The 14,721-nt window shown below is 41.8% G+C and overlaps 1 protein-coding gene across 70 annotated transcripts in view, besides 2 other annotated features; it reads right to left on the bottom strand.

Moving 5' to 3' along the window:
• The window catches only part of CELF2 (CUGBP Elav-like family member 2), an 874,126-nt gene that overhangs the window by 63,650 nt on the left and 795,755 nt on the right, over positions 1–14,721 (bottom strand). For 67 of the 70 annotated variants that reach the window (XM_047424494.1, NM_001326323.2, NM_001326320.2 and 64 more), the window contains 2 exon segments: positions 6,349–6,428; positions 2,202–2,360 (listed from right to left, as the gene is read on the bottom strand). In XM_047424494.1, coding sequence (XP_047280450.1) covers positions 2,202–2,360; positions 6,349–6,428 — 239 coding nt within the window. 70 annotated transcript variants of the gene reach the window in all.
• Positions 11,277–11,346: an enhancer, noted in NCBI's record as "active region_3008". NCBI's record gives its function as "activates an Ori minimal core promoter by ATAC-STARR-seq in GM12878 lymphoblastoid cells {active_cell/tissue: GM12878}" and the evidence as "EXISTENCE:reporter gene assay evidence [ECO:0000049][PMID:35858748]".
• Positions 11,367–11,416: an enhancer, noted in NCBI's record as "active region_3007". NCBI's record gives its function as "activates an Ori minimal core promoter by ATAC-STARR-seq in GM12878 lymphoblastoid cells {active_cell/tissue: GM12878}" and the evidence as "EXISTENCE:reporter gene assay evidence [ECO:0000049][PMID:35858748]".

The raw sequence follows: 14,721 nt of genomic DNA, 5'->3' as shown, positions 1-14,721 counted from the left end.
AGGGACTGCCCACTGTAATAGCAAGGCCTTATTTCGGTTTGATTTGCTGGGTTTCTCATTCTCTTGCGCTTATCAACTGCAACTTCCTCCTCATATTCAATGTTTTTAAATTTTAAAAATTAAGCTAGCCTTGAAGATGTTTAGAGGAGTTAATAGCACCTACTGAGGTAAGTGGAAATACCTGGAGTGTCATTAAACCACCACCCAGGATTATTGCCATGGATAACCAACCTCTGGTGAGCCAGGGTCAGAATCTATCACTCAAGGCAGCTAAGGGCTCTTTCAGAGAAAGGGCTTTTCAGCTGAAAGGGAGTAGGACAAACATGGCCAAGAAAGAATCACCCATGGCAGAGGGAAACGTAGTGAGAACTTCTAAAAACATGTTTCTATAAATCAGGCTGAGATTTCCTCTCCTTCACCTACACAAACAATTTGCAGATGTGGTCCCAGAAACATGTGCCGGAGATTTCTGTGAGCCGTGGGGGCACAGGAGACGTGCTAGAAGACAGAGTGGACACGTGTCTCAGTTTTCAGAAATGGTGGATGGGGGAAGCCGGACTCTTAGAAAGTACAGGAAGGTGAGCGTGATGTCAGCCTCAGACAAAAATTCTGGTACACAGAATTAAACCAATCGACTGTGAGCATCTGAACAGCACACATTTGTGAAAAACAAATCATAGTCAAGCTAGACTCATTTCTCTTTTAAAGCAATTTTTAGACTGATTAGTCAAGAAAATAATAGCAGAGCAAATATAGATTTTAGCAAGACAGCTGACAAAATCTCTCATGGTATCTTCGTGGACAAGGTAGAGAAATGGACAGAAAGTGATGGGAACCTGAGCCAATGCTTTTGCTAGCAGCACAGAGGAAGACAGGAAAAGGATGCTTCTCATTCATTCATCAAATATGTACTGAAGAGCTATTATATACCAGACCCCACTGGGCACTGGGCACTGGGGGTGGGGCAGCTAAAAAGATGAAGGTGACCCGCAGCAGCACCCGGAGTCCTCAAAGAGGCAGTATGGCCAGCCGGCGGGACACGCAGGGCTCAAGTCCCATCAACCACTAGCGGCTGGTTGATTCTGGGTAACGTTACGTAACCTCTTTGAGTCTCCCTTTCCTCATATGTCCGAAAAGCAGGATCATCTCACCTTCCAAGGTGGAATAGGGAGGATCATTTGACACAAAAGCACAACTTCTGCTACAAAGTAAAGCCAATGGGTGACAGGATCACAAGAGGGATAGTTAAAATGTAAAATGACAGAATGAAGACCCAATACACATGGGGTACACACACACACACACACAGAGACACCCTCTCTGAGGCTGGAATAAAAGGCCCAAACTCACAATATGAAATTATATTAATAAATGTGAAGTCCAGCACTTATGTTCCAAAGTGGAAAAATAGGGTAGAAGAGCACAATTTAGCAGTAATTCGAGTAAAAATAAAATCTCTGGAGTACTGGCTGCCTTCCAGCCCGCATCTGCCATGGTTACTACAAACGCCGCTCTCAAGCTCCATTCAGATGCCCTCAAGTCCACACTAGAGGTTACTACTCCGTCCTGTTCAGATCTCGCTCGGGGGACTGTCTTAAATTCTGGTCACTGTGTTTCAATAAAGACACAAAGTGAAATGGAGAGCATGAGTAAACAACCAGAAAGCTCAAGTTCAGACACCAAGAGATGTAAGGAATGGCTGAGAGAACTGGGTCTGCTGGGGCTTGAAATAGAATAGAATTTTGTTGGTTTCAAATAGATGAAGTAAGAAACACTTGATTTCATCAATCTGGTTCCACTGCGAAGAGCCAGGATCATGGAATGGAAGTTCTGGGAGATTTCACCTGAGGTCCTGCTGGCGCAGACCCTGACCTGACAGGGATGAGCCAGCCCAGCGGCCTCCCTCTCGTTACATCATCAGCTGCATGTCTTCTAACTCAGGGCCTTGGGGTGCCTTTCAAAGACGAGTTAGAAGTTTAACCTGTGGGACTTTGCCCCTCCTACATCAGGCAGGAATTCAATTAGTCCTGTTCTTAACAGAATCAATCTAACTTGGAAAAATATCCTGCATAAATGCTGATTTCAATAATTCCCCGAGATTGAAAATGTACTGAAAACAAATGCCTCAGCGTAGGGAGGGGAAAAGTCAGTTTGCAGAGTTTCAGCGGGTGAAGACCACGCCGGCATTGCCCAGCACTTACCGCCAGATACTGTGGGGTCAGTCCGCCCAGCCCTGTCAGGTTCCCCCAGGTGGCAGTGTTGAGCTGCTGCATCTGCTGAGCGAGCTGCTGCTGGAGGCGCCTTTGCTCTTTGTCCTTCTGAGTGTCAGCAAACTTCACCACGATAGGTGAAGAGCAGCCCTGTGGTCAGACACATTGGAAAGTGGAGAGGGGGTTACAGGCTGGCGGAATCCGCTCACGACACTCAGCACCGGAGCTACCTTTCTGCACTAGCCTGGAGCACATGGAATGGGCTGAAATGGTTTAAAACGGTTTGATATTCCTTCTTCTCTGAATAGTACCATCAACAGAAAATTCCAGACACTGCCAGTGGTTTCTTTGGGGGATCTGGTGGTCGGTGAAGTCACTTGCTTTCTTGCTCTGATTAGTAACTGCCTCTCCTTCTCTTCCTGTGTCTTCCTTCAACCTTGCAGGACCTCCTTACAGACAACAGACCTTACCAAGGTTCTTTAATTGAGCTTCTCAGGCTGCTCGTCTTAAAGACAGACTTGGCTTTGTGTGTCTGCCCGTGTCCACAGGTGGACAGAGGACAAAGGGGAGAATCTGTAACGGGAATGGCCATGTCTCTCATTCATTTATCTTTTACTCTTTCCCGTTTTCAGTTATGTATCTGTGAACTTTGGGATTGTGACAATCCTATCGGCCCAGCAATCATAGGGAAAAGGGCTTCATTTTAGTTTTGAGGATGAGGGCAGAAGATATTCAGAGAACACAGGCATTCTCCAAAGTAACCGTTCACGTTTTCAGAGAGGCCTCTTCCCTCAGCACACCTGTGCTACCCGCCATCCCTGGAGCTGGTGCAAACCCAAAAAACAGAAGCACATTCTAGCCAAAGAAGATAGACCGTGAACAGCAGACGGAGGAGTCCACTTGGCTTCTTTCCCTAATGAATCTCACCATTCTAGCAGCTTCTTTCAGTTTTAATTTCCTTTAAAAGGCAAGGAGTAGGGGTAGTGAGAAAGAAATGGCTAAAGGTCACAGAATTCACTACTGAGCTAGATAAAATCATCAGGGATAATAAGGGCCTAACACCCCAAGCACGAAGACCTCCTTTCCAAAGCACCTTTGCAACATTTGCCACTTGGTAAGTAACTCAGCAGAAGTCTCCCCCTCCTTCCCCAGCCTCTTCTCCTCCTTTGTGTGGCTTGCCTACACGTTTCATCACAATTAAAGCTGTTCAATTTTGCTGAGGCATAAAGAAGTAATTCTACCCAAGTGATTAAAATAAAAACTTTTATTGAAACTCAGCATGATAATAGACCTCTCTCTCTCTCCTCTCAGAAATGTTATATTCCTATTTAAATGTGATTCTCTGTTCCATTCCCTTTGGGTCATGTTTCTCTTTTCTGGAAAACAAACGCATTTTTTTCCTTATCACCTTGGGTAGTTACTGGGGATGCAGTTCTGAATACATGAGGATATCATGTCTGTTAATAAAAAAAAGTGAGAAAAATGAGATGAATATTTCAGTGTTAAACTTCCAGCCTACTGGTCTTCAGCTCTGGTAGACAGAGTCATGGTACAGAATGTTAAATGTCAGTAAATTGCACAAAAATAGTATTTCCATCATTTAAAAAAATCTGTAATTCATTTTTTTCTGTATCTGTTCCATGTTTCAGTACTTCACTTAAAAGAGAGCAACATACTTTGAAGATTATGTAGAGAGGGGGTTTTGCATGGAAAAGGGTTGTCATTGTTCCATCAAATTTGTTCCATAACAAATTATAGCATCTCTCCTAACAGAACATCTATTTTTTTCTTCCTTAAATAGTAAAAATGATATAAAAGCAGAAAATTAGGCCAATGATTATAGCTTAAAAATGATTTTTTAAACCATGAAACACAGGGCAGGGATAGAGTGAAGGCAAGTGGAGAAACAGAAGGCACGATATAAAATTAATTGTTTTTAAGACCTTGTTCTTTCAACATTCACATCATTGTGAATTAGGTAATACATCTTGGTTAAAGATGTATGCCAGAGTCCTGGAAATAATATAATTAGTTAAAAATAAACAACGTTAGTCAAACAATTATAATGTGACTGCATAATATATAACCTCCTATTTAAATGCCAATTAAAAAAAAAACCAAACAAGAAATTTAAGTGTCAGAGGACCCCTCTGTGTAAGCATGAATGTCCAGTTTTAAACACCAAATTTGGTTTTCAAATAACAGAGATATTAATAATAAAGGATCAAAGGCTTAGGAATAAATATGCCCCAGTGGTCAAACCAACTCTTTACATGATGGGAACCTACTGTTTCTCAGCCTGGTTCATGCCCAGTTCTGCTTTATGATCCAGAGTCCTCCTTCTACAGGAACACAGGGGAACATGGTCTCCCGTGGGTTGTCCGTGGCTCTCTGAGCATTACTGGGGGGGCTCCAAGGGAAGGAATGGGGATCGTAATGTTTCTAACAGAAACACTGAAGAATTGAGGTTCAAAATTATCTCAGGTGAGACCAATTTGGGTACACATCACTAAATTACAAGAAATAAAAATAAGAATGAAACGCGTATATGGAAGATAATACAAGTAAAGAGTTTTCTTTTTTATTTTTTTGCCCCTAACAGCAGTTTCATTTTAATCTTCAAACTGAATTGAAGATTAAAATGTGGCTGGAAATCAGGCTAATCCACAGGAATGGAGCGGCCTCAGTAAGAGAAAGAGGGAAGCAAAACGCCATCACACGTGTAACTGCGTGTCAGACAAGATTAGCTTCCTAGACATTCCAAATCCTGCTCATTATCGCCTATCATGCCCGATTTTCACCTGAGCTTGCCTTCAGGTAGGGGGTTGTGAGTGTCTTAAAAATGCATTGCACTGAAAGGAAAACACAGTGATTATATAAGATATGTTAGGAATATCAAAGTCAAGATCAATGTTCGAAAAAGACAATAGGCTTTGCAATGCTGGTATCACAAGTCAGAAAAGTACAGTAAACACTGAATGACAATGCCATGCACACTCCTTCCCCCCTTTGCACCCACCTTTTGATTCACTATAAAAAAAGTTGCCCACAAAACATGACGCATAATGATCACTTAGCTCCCAGCATGCTTTGGGAGATGCAGCATTGCAAAAAACAAACAAAAACAAACAAACAAAAAAATAAAACCCCAACAAAATGGGGGGAAAACAGAAGCTCAATCAAGAAAAAAGTTTTTTGCATATTAAATAAAATTGAAAATATCTTTTTTCAAAATATGAAAACACAGCTTCAGATAACACCACAAGGCCACCTCCGGAAAAGATCACCCATACACAAAGATACAGTATACATAATACAGCAGAACATGCACTCCCAAATGATTCTATCAGACAATACAGAAGAAGTAACGGCATATCACTCTTGGAATGCTTTTGTGCAAAATTCTGAAAGGCCATGACCCAAATCACAGACTAAAAGTACAGAGCCATCTATCTAGGTTCGTGGGTGTGCATCCACACCAGGGTGTTTACCTTCCCCTAAAGCCATGATCTCTCATTAGGAGACCACATTTGAGCCTTTATTATGTTTCTTTGTTATTGCTCATCTTTTTAAGGAAGGAGACAAATCCTATTTTCCAAATTTGCACTTTCAATGTTAAATGCAGTGGGAGAAATATTAACTTTCTCCAACATTCTTGATGTAAAAACACAATGCTGTTTGACTAGATGGAAGATAACTTGACCCTGTACAAACGAAAGAACCCTGGGACTTAGCACAGGGCAAGCAGTAATTTGGGGTGGGAGGCTGTTACTGTTTCATCCGCACCGACCCCGGTGTGGGGAATGTATTTGATTCTTTAGGTCCAGAATGACACTTTGCTTAAAGTGCTCACGACTTTACATCACAGGACCCGTGCCACTGCAATAAAAGGCTCAAATAAATAACTGGAGAGCAAGTGGAAGGTTTTCCTAAATGCATTTCAAGTCATTAGGGGAAAAATGCATAGAGAAAGAGAGAGAGAGAGAGAAGGAGAGAATGAGAATGAATGAATGAAAACTGAGATGGTGAAAGTTTACATCTGTGATTGTCATGTGAACAATCCACACAGGAGAGAATTGCTTTACCATTCCCCATCATTTGCACAAAGAAAACAAAGAAAGGGCAGATGATACAGTACCTCCATGGTCTGAGACTGATGCATGGCTTTGATTGCATTCTGTGCCATTGCCCTTGTAGAAAATGTGACAAACGCACAGCCTGTGGGAAACAAGGGGACAGGGAGCAGGAAAGACAAAAAACAACAAGACAAAAGGGTTGGACGCTTGTTAAACCAACACAGTCTACGAGAACTGCCACAAGACGACACTGTTCTCAGTAGTACATAAAAATAAAACAACTTCTCTCTCTGGTTTTATCTTATTTTGCTTTTTATTCACAGTGCTGACTTGCTAATCTGACCAAAGCAGAAAGATTTATTTATTTATTAGTTTATTTTTTAAATGGAAACTAGGGGAGGAAGTTGGGTACTGTTTTTAGCCACCGGGTTTGAAATCAGCAAGATCTAGTTTGCATTTTCTAAAATAAAAAGTTGCTATTTTCCATTTTCTCCTTGACTGATGATCTTTACTGAGGGCATTCACACATCAGGGCTTTGTATTTCAAATTTTATCATTGATTTTTAAAGGGGCAAATAAGAAAATCCTCACACCAAGGGCAAATGAGCAAATAAATTTCAAGAGCTCAAAATGTCAGCAAACAAATGTATCTAAATCCCTTCCAGGTAGTTAAAAAATATATATGTATGTATAAACATAAATTGTTGCTATGCAAATACAAATATACCAAGTCTGTTGCAAACTATTTAGCAATTTTTAATTTTAATAAAAACAAATGCTCCATTACTCCGAGAATATTCAATACTGCTATAAAATGTAAAAAACGTGCATTGTCATTTATTTGCATAAAATCTTCAAGACTTTTGAGACTTGTCAATTTCTGAAACGTATCAAAGATTTGACCTTAGTTCTAACATACACAAGACAATGTACACTTCTGTGAATATCTGCTGGGAGACCAGTGAAACTTTCCGTGCCTGTTTTTTCTTGTGCTGTAAAATAACTAGACTCTGTAGTGCCTGCTCCTGCTTCCTGCACCAGCGTTGGCCACCATGCAGGTCACTGCTCCAACTACATGGCTCATTGCCCTTTTCACTAATAAAAACACTGCCTTCTCAAATTTACATTTTATTCATCATGCACCCTTGGGCTTCTTAGAGAAAAAGACTGTGAAATTAATGCAGATTCAGGCTGATATTATAATAAAACCACAGCACACTAAAAGGTTAGCTAAAGCAACACAGACTTATTTCACTTATGATCTCTAATGACTTTAAAAGTGCATTGATTTTCAGCTTCTTTAGCCTTGCACAGTTTGAACTTAGGTATCAGAGAATAATTTAGTGTTCCACTCAATTTCCTCAAAACATTATTATTACTACTTAAAAGATTTCCAAATGAAGCAGATCTAAACACTGAGAGGCTGACGTCTATTGTCATTTCAGAGTGAATGCATGAAAAGCAGAATTCTGGCATCAACGATGTGAGATTGTTGCCCCTGTGGCCAATAAGCAAAATAGAATATTCTGCATTCAAACAACCAGCAGATTGTTTGGTTTATGTAAATCAATTTGTGAGCCATAAAATATATTTTCTTCTTTTGCTCTGCACGAATACCTGGTGAGATTATCAAGTCAATACTGTAGCGGCACCTTTTAATCCAACAGCAATAAGAGAAAGCAATGCCTGCCCATTACCCTCAAAGCACAACGACATCCAGTCATGAAAATAAGTCAATGCATTTTTTGTTTGCATCATGCTATAATTTTTAACACACAAAAACTCTCAGTACATGAGAAACTCATCTCACATTCGCCTCCTGGCTAAGCTGGCTTGAAGAAGCCTGAATGAAGTTCAGCTCACGGTGAATGCTGAGCTGTCTCATGTGGTTCTCTGACAGCATGGCAGCTGATGAAGCTTACTATCTGAACACGCTACCTGTACTAAGACTGACTGTAGCTTTTGTCATCAATAACAGCAATTTAGTGGCCTTCTCTGAGGCAGCTAGATGATGTAAGTGTGGGACAGAGGACAGGACCTCCACTGGCTTCCATACTGATGCTGAGCTCTGAGGTGATCCAGTCCAAATTTACCATCTGTTTCCAAGTAACATCTCTTCAGAAGCATTTTCATCATCCCTGGCATTATTAACAGAGGAAATAACACTAAGAGATTTTTATTTTTCCACTTCTTATCTTGAAACTACAAGGGAGGAAAAGGCAAATCATCTATTGGAGATAGATTTGAAACCAAGCGGAGCCTGGGCTAATTCTGTTTTTAATAGTCAAGAAGATTGCTGTATTCACTTCATTTGCTCTTATTATCCAGCACCATGTGCCAAGCTGACAGTTTCCAAATGGAGGGTAAAAATGCGTAAGAAACATGTAAAATGTCAACAAAAATCAATAAGGCACAGTTTATGCATTTGCCACAATTTCATATATGCAGAACTTTTTAAAGTAACTTAGTGAGAAAGATACAGCAATTATCAGGCCTCAGAAGAGAAGTATTACCAATAGAACAATAAAATTCTGTTTCTATAAACTCAAATCATTGCCCTTTCCTCTAACAACCGTGCAATTAAAAACATGACTGATGCTTGTAATTATATAATCCTTACCCCACCCAAAAAAATGATCTGACACATCTGAGGACTTCTTTAACCTTTTAATTCTATTGGCAGTGGTGCAGTAAGACAGAAGCTGTCTCCTTAGGGGTTTCTGTCAAGTTCTGCATTGTGTGCTGTGTTCAATTACTTGAGAAAAAAATTACAGTGTCATTTATAAAGTGGGAGTGCATGTTGAAAAATGTCACTCTCTGTGTCACTCGGGATGAAGTCAAGCAACTTCAGAGTCAACTGTTTCTTGCAATGGTAGCTTGTTAACCACTGTAATTTCTCTAAAACAGGAGGTCACGGTAAGTCCTATGGATAGATTTTTAGTTTTTGTTTCAACACCACTGAAAACACATGGGTGGCTTTAGGATTAGGCCTCCAATGTATGGCTTTATACTAACACAGGATCATGTAAGTCCCTACCGTTAAGACTGGCTGCTGGCTTTTTCTCTCAAGCCAACCAGAAGGCTTTCCATTGGACAGAAATAACCTGGGTTGTAACTGTCCCCTTTCTACTAAAAATGAGCTTCTGGGTGCGGTGGTGTTCACTGGGTCTTTACAGGACAACTGCTCTGATCCTGTAGGGTCAGCCCTTAACTATTCTAGACTGTTGAATGTCAGGTCTCAGCAATCAGCAATTTGGCTACTGACCCAAATGCCGGAGAAACAAGGCTGGGGGGAAAATATACAGGTATCAAAATAATGAAGCCATACTTCTTTCTTTTTTGGTGGGGAGGGAGTTTTGGTAAGACAACATGTATATTACTCTCTGAAAACCTCCACATATATAGCAGCAAAAAAAAATCCAACTGTAAATTTGGCCAACCTGCAATTTACCTTTGCAATTATTTATTATCCCTACTTTCAGAATGTTACGAATTGCTAACAGAAATGAAAGGAGCTGCATTCCTCTCATTTCAGTGAGGTTACCTTCTTGCTGCTAAAACAGATAAATGATTGACTGGGGAAAGGTTTCTGAAAGTAATTTCCTCCTACAGACAAGATCTAAGGAAAGCACGTAGCCCTGTCACAGAGAAGATTTTGGAACACACCTATTACACTTGTCATTTCAATTGAAAGGATATCTTAACTCAGGTGTTCCACCTTTTTTCTTAGCTGCAAGAGAACTGAGAACTAGATGAATTCTTGCTCTGCACCAAAAAAAAAAAAAAAAAAAAAAAAAAAGTAAAGCCACTTTTAAAAGCATGAACAATGCCAGGGCCTCTTGCTTTTCTTTGTTACTTCTTTGAAAAAGGTGTAGTACCCACTATACTTCAAGTGAAAGAAGTATAACTTGTGTAGGACAAAGGAGATTTTAACCTATGGAAAACTTGTTTATAAGTTCCTAGTCAGCCAAAGAAATATCTTAATGCAGTCAATCTTCCTTGTATCTTTTAAGCAGTAGCAACGTTAAACATACGCTATCAATATAATATTGGGGCATAAGAATTAATACTCTGATGGGCCATCCCTGATGCTGAGTTACTTTATTTAAAACTGGCACAGACACATCACTCATTTATGGCATGCGAGGCTGGGTACAGACTAGGACCTACTTAATAGCTGGCAAAATCTCATCACTGAGATAAGATTGGAAGTCTGTATTTGGAACAAGATGGCAAATGCAGTAAGGAGTCAAGGGGGCATGTCGCCAAAGTTCCCACACATCTGAATGTTTAGGTACTGTGTGGGCAGAGCTGAAATGTGTGAAAACTGATTCATTTCTGTGTACATGCTTGTTGTTGTTGTTTTGAGACAGCATCTCGCTGTGTTTGCCCAGGCTGGTCTTGAACTCCCAGGCTCAAGTGGTCCTCCTGCATCAGCCTCCCAAGCACTGTGTACATGTTTTAATAGTCAAAAGCCCATTCCTGTATTCTGATCAGATATGACAAAAACCAATGAGGATTTAATAGCTAAATCCAGTCTGTACTTGCCAACATCCCTGAAAATATTGCCAATTCATTTGTCAAGGGTTTTGGCAGGGGAATGTTGGAACACCATAAACACAGCTGGAATATTCTTAAACAAGCAGAAAGTTACCTTAAATGGCAGTGAAGATTTGCCTACAGTTTGTGGGGGGAAAAAAATTAAACTCCTTTACTGTCTCTGGGTTACAGATATTCAACTGCCACGGTGCAGAAAACCCTGTACCTAAATAGCCCAGGCTGACTGTGGGATTGTGGGTAAGTGAGAGTGTGTGTATTTTAGGAAATCAACATGCTAGGGTGATGCTGTCGATCAAGCACATTTGGCTTAGAAACTTCAGGCTCTGCTTCTGAGAGCAAACACCTCATGTGAATTGCCACATGTGGGCCCATGGCATCCTGCTCCTTTTCTCCATGAAGGCTTCTACAGCAGGCCTGGAGAGGCTGAGCAGCTGCTGCAGAAGGTGCTGAGCATCCCAAAGTTGCTTGAAAGCATCTCAGTGTTTTCCAAATTAGAGAAGATGGCAGAATGGGTTACTTCCCCAAAGGGAGAAACGCATACTGAGATATGGCTACGCTGCCTCAAGCCAGGAAGAGTCCTTGGATCTTCGAGAGGCTCCAGGTGCTTGGCAGGTGTTAGGTGCTTTCCACGTAGAGTCGTGACAATTTCCTGAGGGTGTCTGCCCTGGAACATGGGCTGGGGCCGCTGAGTAAGATGGGATTTTAAAAATACTTTCTTTTCTTGCCAAAAGGTAGATCACGACTTACAAAAAAAAAAAAAAGGCAGTGATTCCGACTGAAAGTATAGCACGACTTGATGGGTACAGCTGTGGGTCAGGGCAGTGTACCTCTCTGACACAGTGGGGGTACTGGGTCAACTAGCCTGGTGAAACCTCAGTGTAACCCCTCTTAGGGAGGACCTGAAACTACTGATGTGGCAGGGAAGAAATGACATTAGAAATCCGCAGGAGCCAGCTAGACTAGTTGCCTCCTTTGTCTTCATCCTCCTAGGTGAACTGGGCAAAAGCAGAAAAAGAAAAGTGAACCGCTCAGCTGCACCCTCTCCCTCACCATAATCCAAGAGTTTGATTTTAAAACTTTCTCACGGAAGAGGGTATACCCTGGTTTTGTGTTAGAAGGTACTGTGCAGAGCAGCCATGCTTTTGTTTCACTTAATTTTTATTTATTTTTAAACAGCTGAGCCAGCAATAGACGCTGAGAACAGAAATGCTGAATGCCCTTTATCTGCAGTGCCACTAATGGGAGACACATTAATATTTGATTCAAAACTGCAATTCTTTAATGAAAGCAAAATGGTAGCATGAAAGAGAATTGTGCTTTTAACAAATACACTGATTCAGGAGCAGGCCCCTGTAGCCAGGAGTCCCTGGGTCCTGCGAATTGAAAAAAGTACCACTGTCTGTCTTCAGTTCTCAGGATAAATGGTTATAAATGAGTATTTTCTTTCTTTCTTATTTTTCTTTTTTTGCAACAGGGAATTCTCATCAGTTCACCAGAAATTACTTTTCTGCTGTTTAAAAAAAAAAAAAACAGATGGGGAGGGAAAAGTTTTCTCCTCTTTCCACTGAGCCAGCGTTTGCATAAAATATTGATGAGACTGCTCCCCATCACTTGTTGCAGGAACAGGCTGCTTCTGGTGTCAAGTGCTGGTTAATCAACCAAATGGCAGATCAAATTAGCTAAGTTCTCTTGTTAAGTACTGCGTGTCCTGCTCTTTCCCATGGAGGTTCTGGCTGCTTTAAAACCTGATCTGCAGAAATAACTGATGTATGCTCAAGGAGCTCTGAACGCTGCAGGCGGCAATCCTGTTCATTACTGTCCCCACTGGACAGACAGAGAAAATGTGCCAGAGAGTCACTGCCTAGATCAGCCAGGCCAGCAGACGGGGAGCAGAAATCAAGCACACATACTGCCCGCCCGGGGTCTCTCCGCTAACACATGCAGAGGGTATGCTCAGACGAAAAGCTAGCACACCAGCCGTGAATGACTCCCTGCAAGAGAAGCAGGGCAGATATAGTTACGGCTGTCATTTACAAATGGGGAAAGCTCAGGACAGAGGTAAGAAAATAAAATGACTAAAGTTCTATTTCATTTCAGTAGAAGTTGTGGGTCTGGAACTTGGGGTCACTGGCCCCTAAGCCATTATAGATTTCGCTATGAGTAATTTAAGGGCTCTCCTTGTGCCGTTTCTCCATACCTTGGAGAATGAAAATTACTACGGTAACACTGAAGTGTGACTGAGAATAACAACAGGAGATAACAGGGATTCTAACTACTAAATTGGCACCAGAAAAGGAATCACAAAAATATGATCACATCTTTCTACATATTTTATTCTTAATTTAGCCACACTGTCTTTTCCCATGGTATTCTCCCTCCTGGCTTGTCTGCTTAAGTGGACATATATATGATGAAGAATTGGACCACCAGGTGTGATTAGAAGGTCTGCTGGTTTGAGCCCCTAGGAAGGCATGCTAGTATCCCTTGGCTGGTGAGGCTGTTTGGGAGCCAGAGGTGGTGCAGTCTGCCACAGCGATGGATGGCTTTGCTTGCCCCTGACGATGGCACAGGTGAAAAACCGCAGAGGAGCCCCGGATACTGGATCTGCTATTCCAGGATCACACTCAATACAGTGACTTGTTCAGCTTTTAGAGAATTACATCTTTTAAGTGAGTGTTATATAACAAAATTTCAGAATTGTTAGAGAATGCATAAACTGATTTCCATGCCGCCTTTTTTTTTTTTTTTTTAAACCACCTTCCGAAGAAAACACAGGAATCAAAAGCTTGGCGTGGTTCCACCGCCTCCTAGTTCTCCTGTAGACTACCTTCATGCTGGGGCTCTGGAGGTGGTTGTAGGTGGGAACTTTTGTTCTCTCGGCCTTCCATTCTAGCAGCTGACATCTTTAAGCTTTATGTTTAAGAATCAAAAGAGCAAATGTTCTTCCTCACATGGTGCTGAAGTCAGGTCAAACTAGTGAGAAGGGTGAAGACGAGTGCTTTCATCCTCATGATCCAATCTTTTCTTTCAACATGTGGTTTGGGGTGCCAGTGCTGGCCCAGAGCCAGAGATTGAGAAGGAAACCAAGTTCCTCATTTGCCCCAAAGAAATTGCACTGGTAACTGCAGTAATAAGAGAATGAAAACCTCTCCATGTTGCTAAGAATATGGATTTCCTGTAAGAAGTGAAAAACACAGGCTGGGTGCGGTGGCTCACGCCTGTAATCCCAGCACTTTGGGAGGCTGAGGCGGGTGGATCACGAGGTCAGGAGATGGAGACCATCGTGGCCAACGTGGTGAAACCCCATGTCTACTAAAATACAAAAGTTGGCCAGGCGTGGTAGCGTGCACCTGTCGTCCCAGCTCCTCGGGAGGCTGAGGCAGGGGAATTGCTTGAACCTGGGAGGTGGAGGCTGCAGTGAGCTGAGATCGCGCCACTGCACTCTGGCCTGGCGACAGAGCAAAAAGAAGTGAAAAACACATTTTATATATACATTTCCACCTTGGACTGACTCAGGGAAGTGCAGTCAGACGAGTGTCAACCTCCAGCGTCAGCCTTTATGAGTGGTTCCAGGAAGGAGGTGTGTGGCATTGTCAAGGGAGAGGCAAACAGGGAAAACAACAGTGATTTCCAACTATTCTGTAAACACCAGCTTATCGTCAAGGCTCTGAGCTACAGCTTCTGCTTCTATCATGGTGGCAAAGAAGTGCCTACAATCTTCTTCAGGGTAAAGTCGCTTTTCTGTCACTTAACGAGTTCCCCTGGCTCAGGACTCCAGGAGTTTTGCTCTTTGAAATAAAACTCTAATACCCCAATACAGGCCCAGTTACCCTACATCCCTATCTGCTCTGCACTACATGTGAACATTGACGCTT

The sequence above is a fragment of the Homo sapiens genome, chromosome 10 (genome assembly GCF_000001405.40).
Source record: "Homo sapiens chromosome 10, GRCh38.p14 Primary Assembly".
Lineage (NCBI taxonomy): Eukaryota > Metazoa > Chordata > Mammalia > Primates > Hominidae > Homo > Homo sapiens.
Note: the sequence above shows the minus strand (reverse complement) of the source record. Positions and strands in the feature narration are given on the sequence as shown.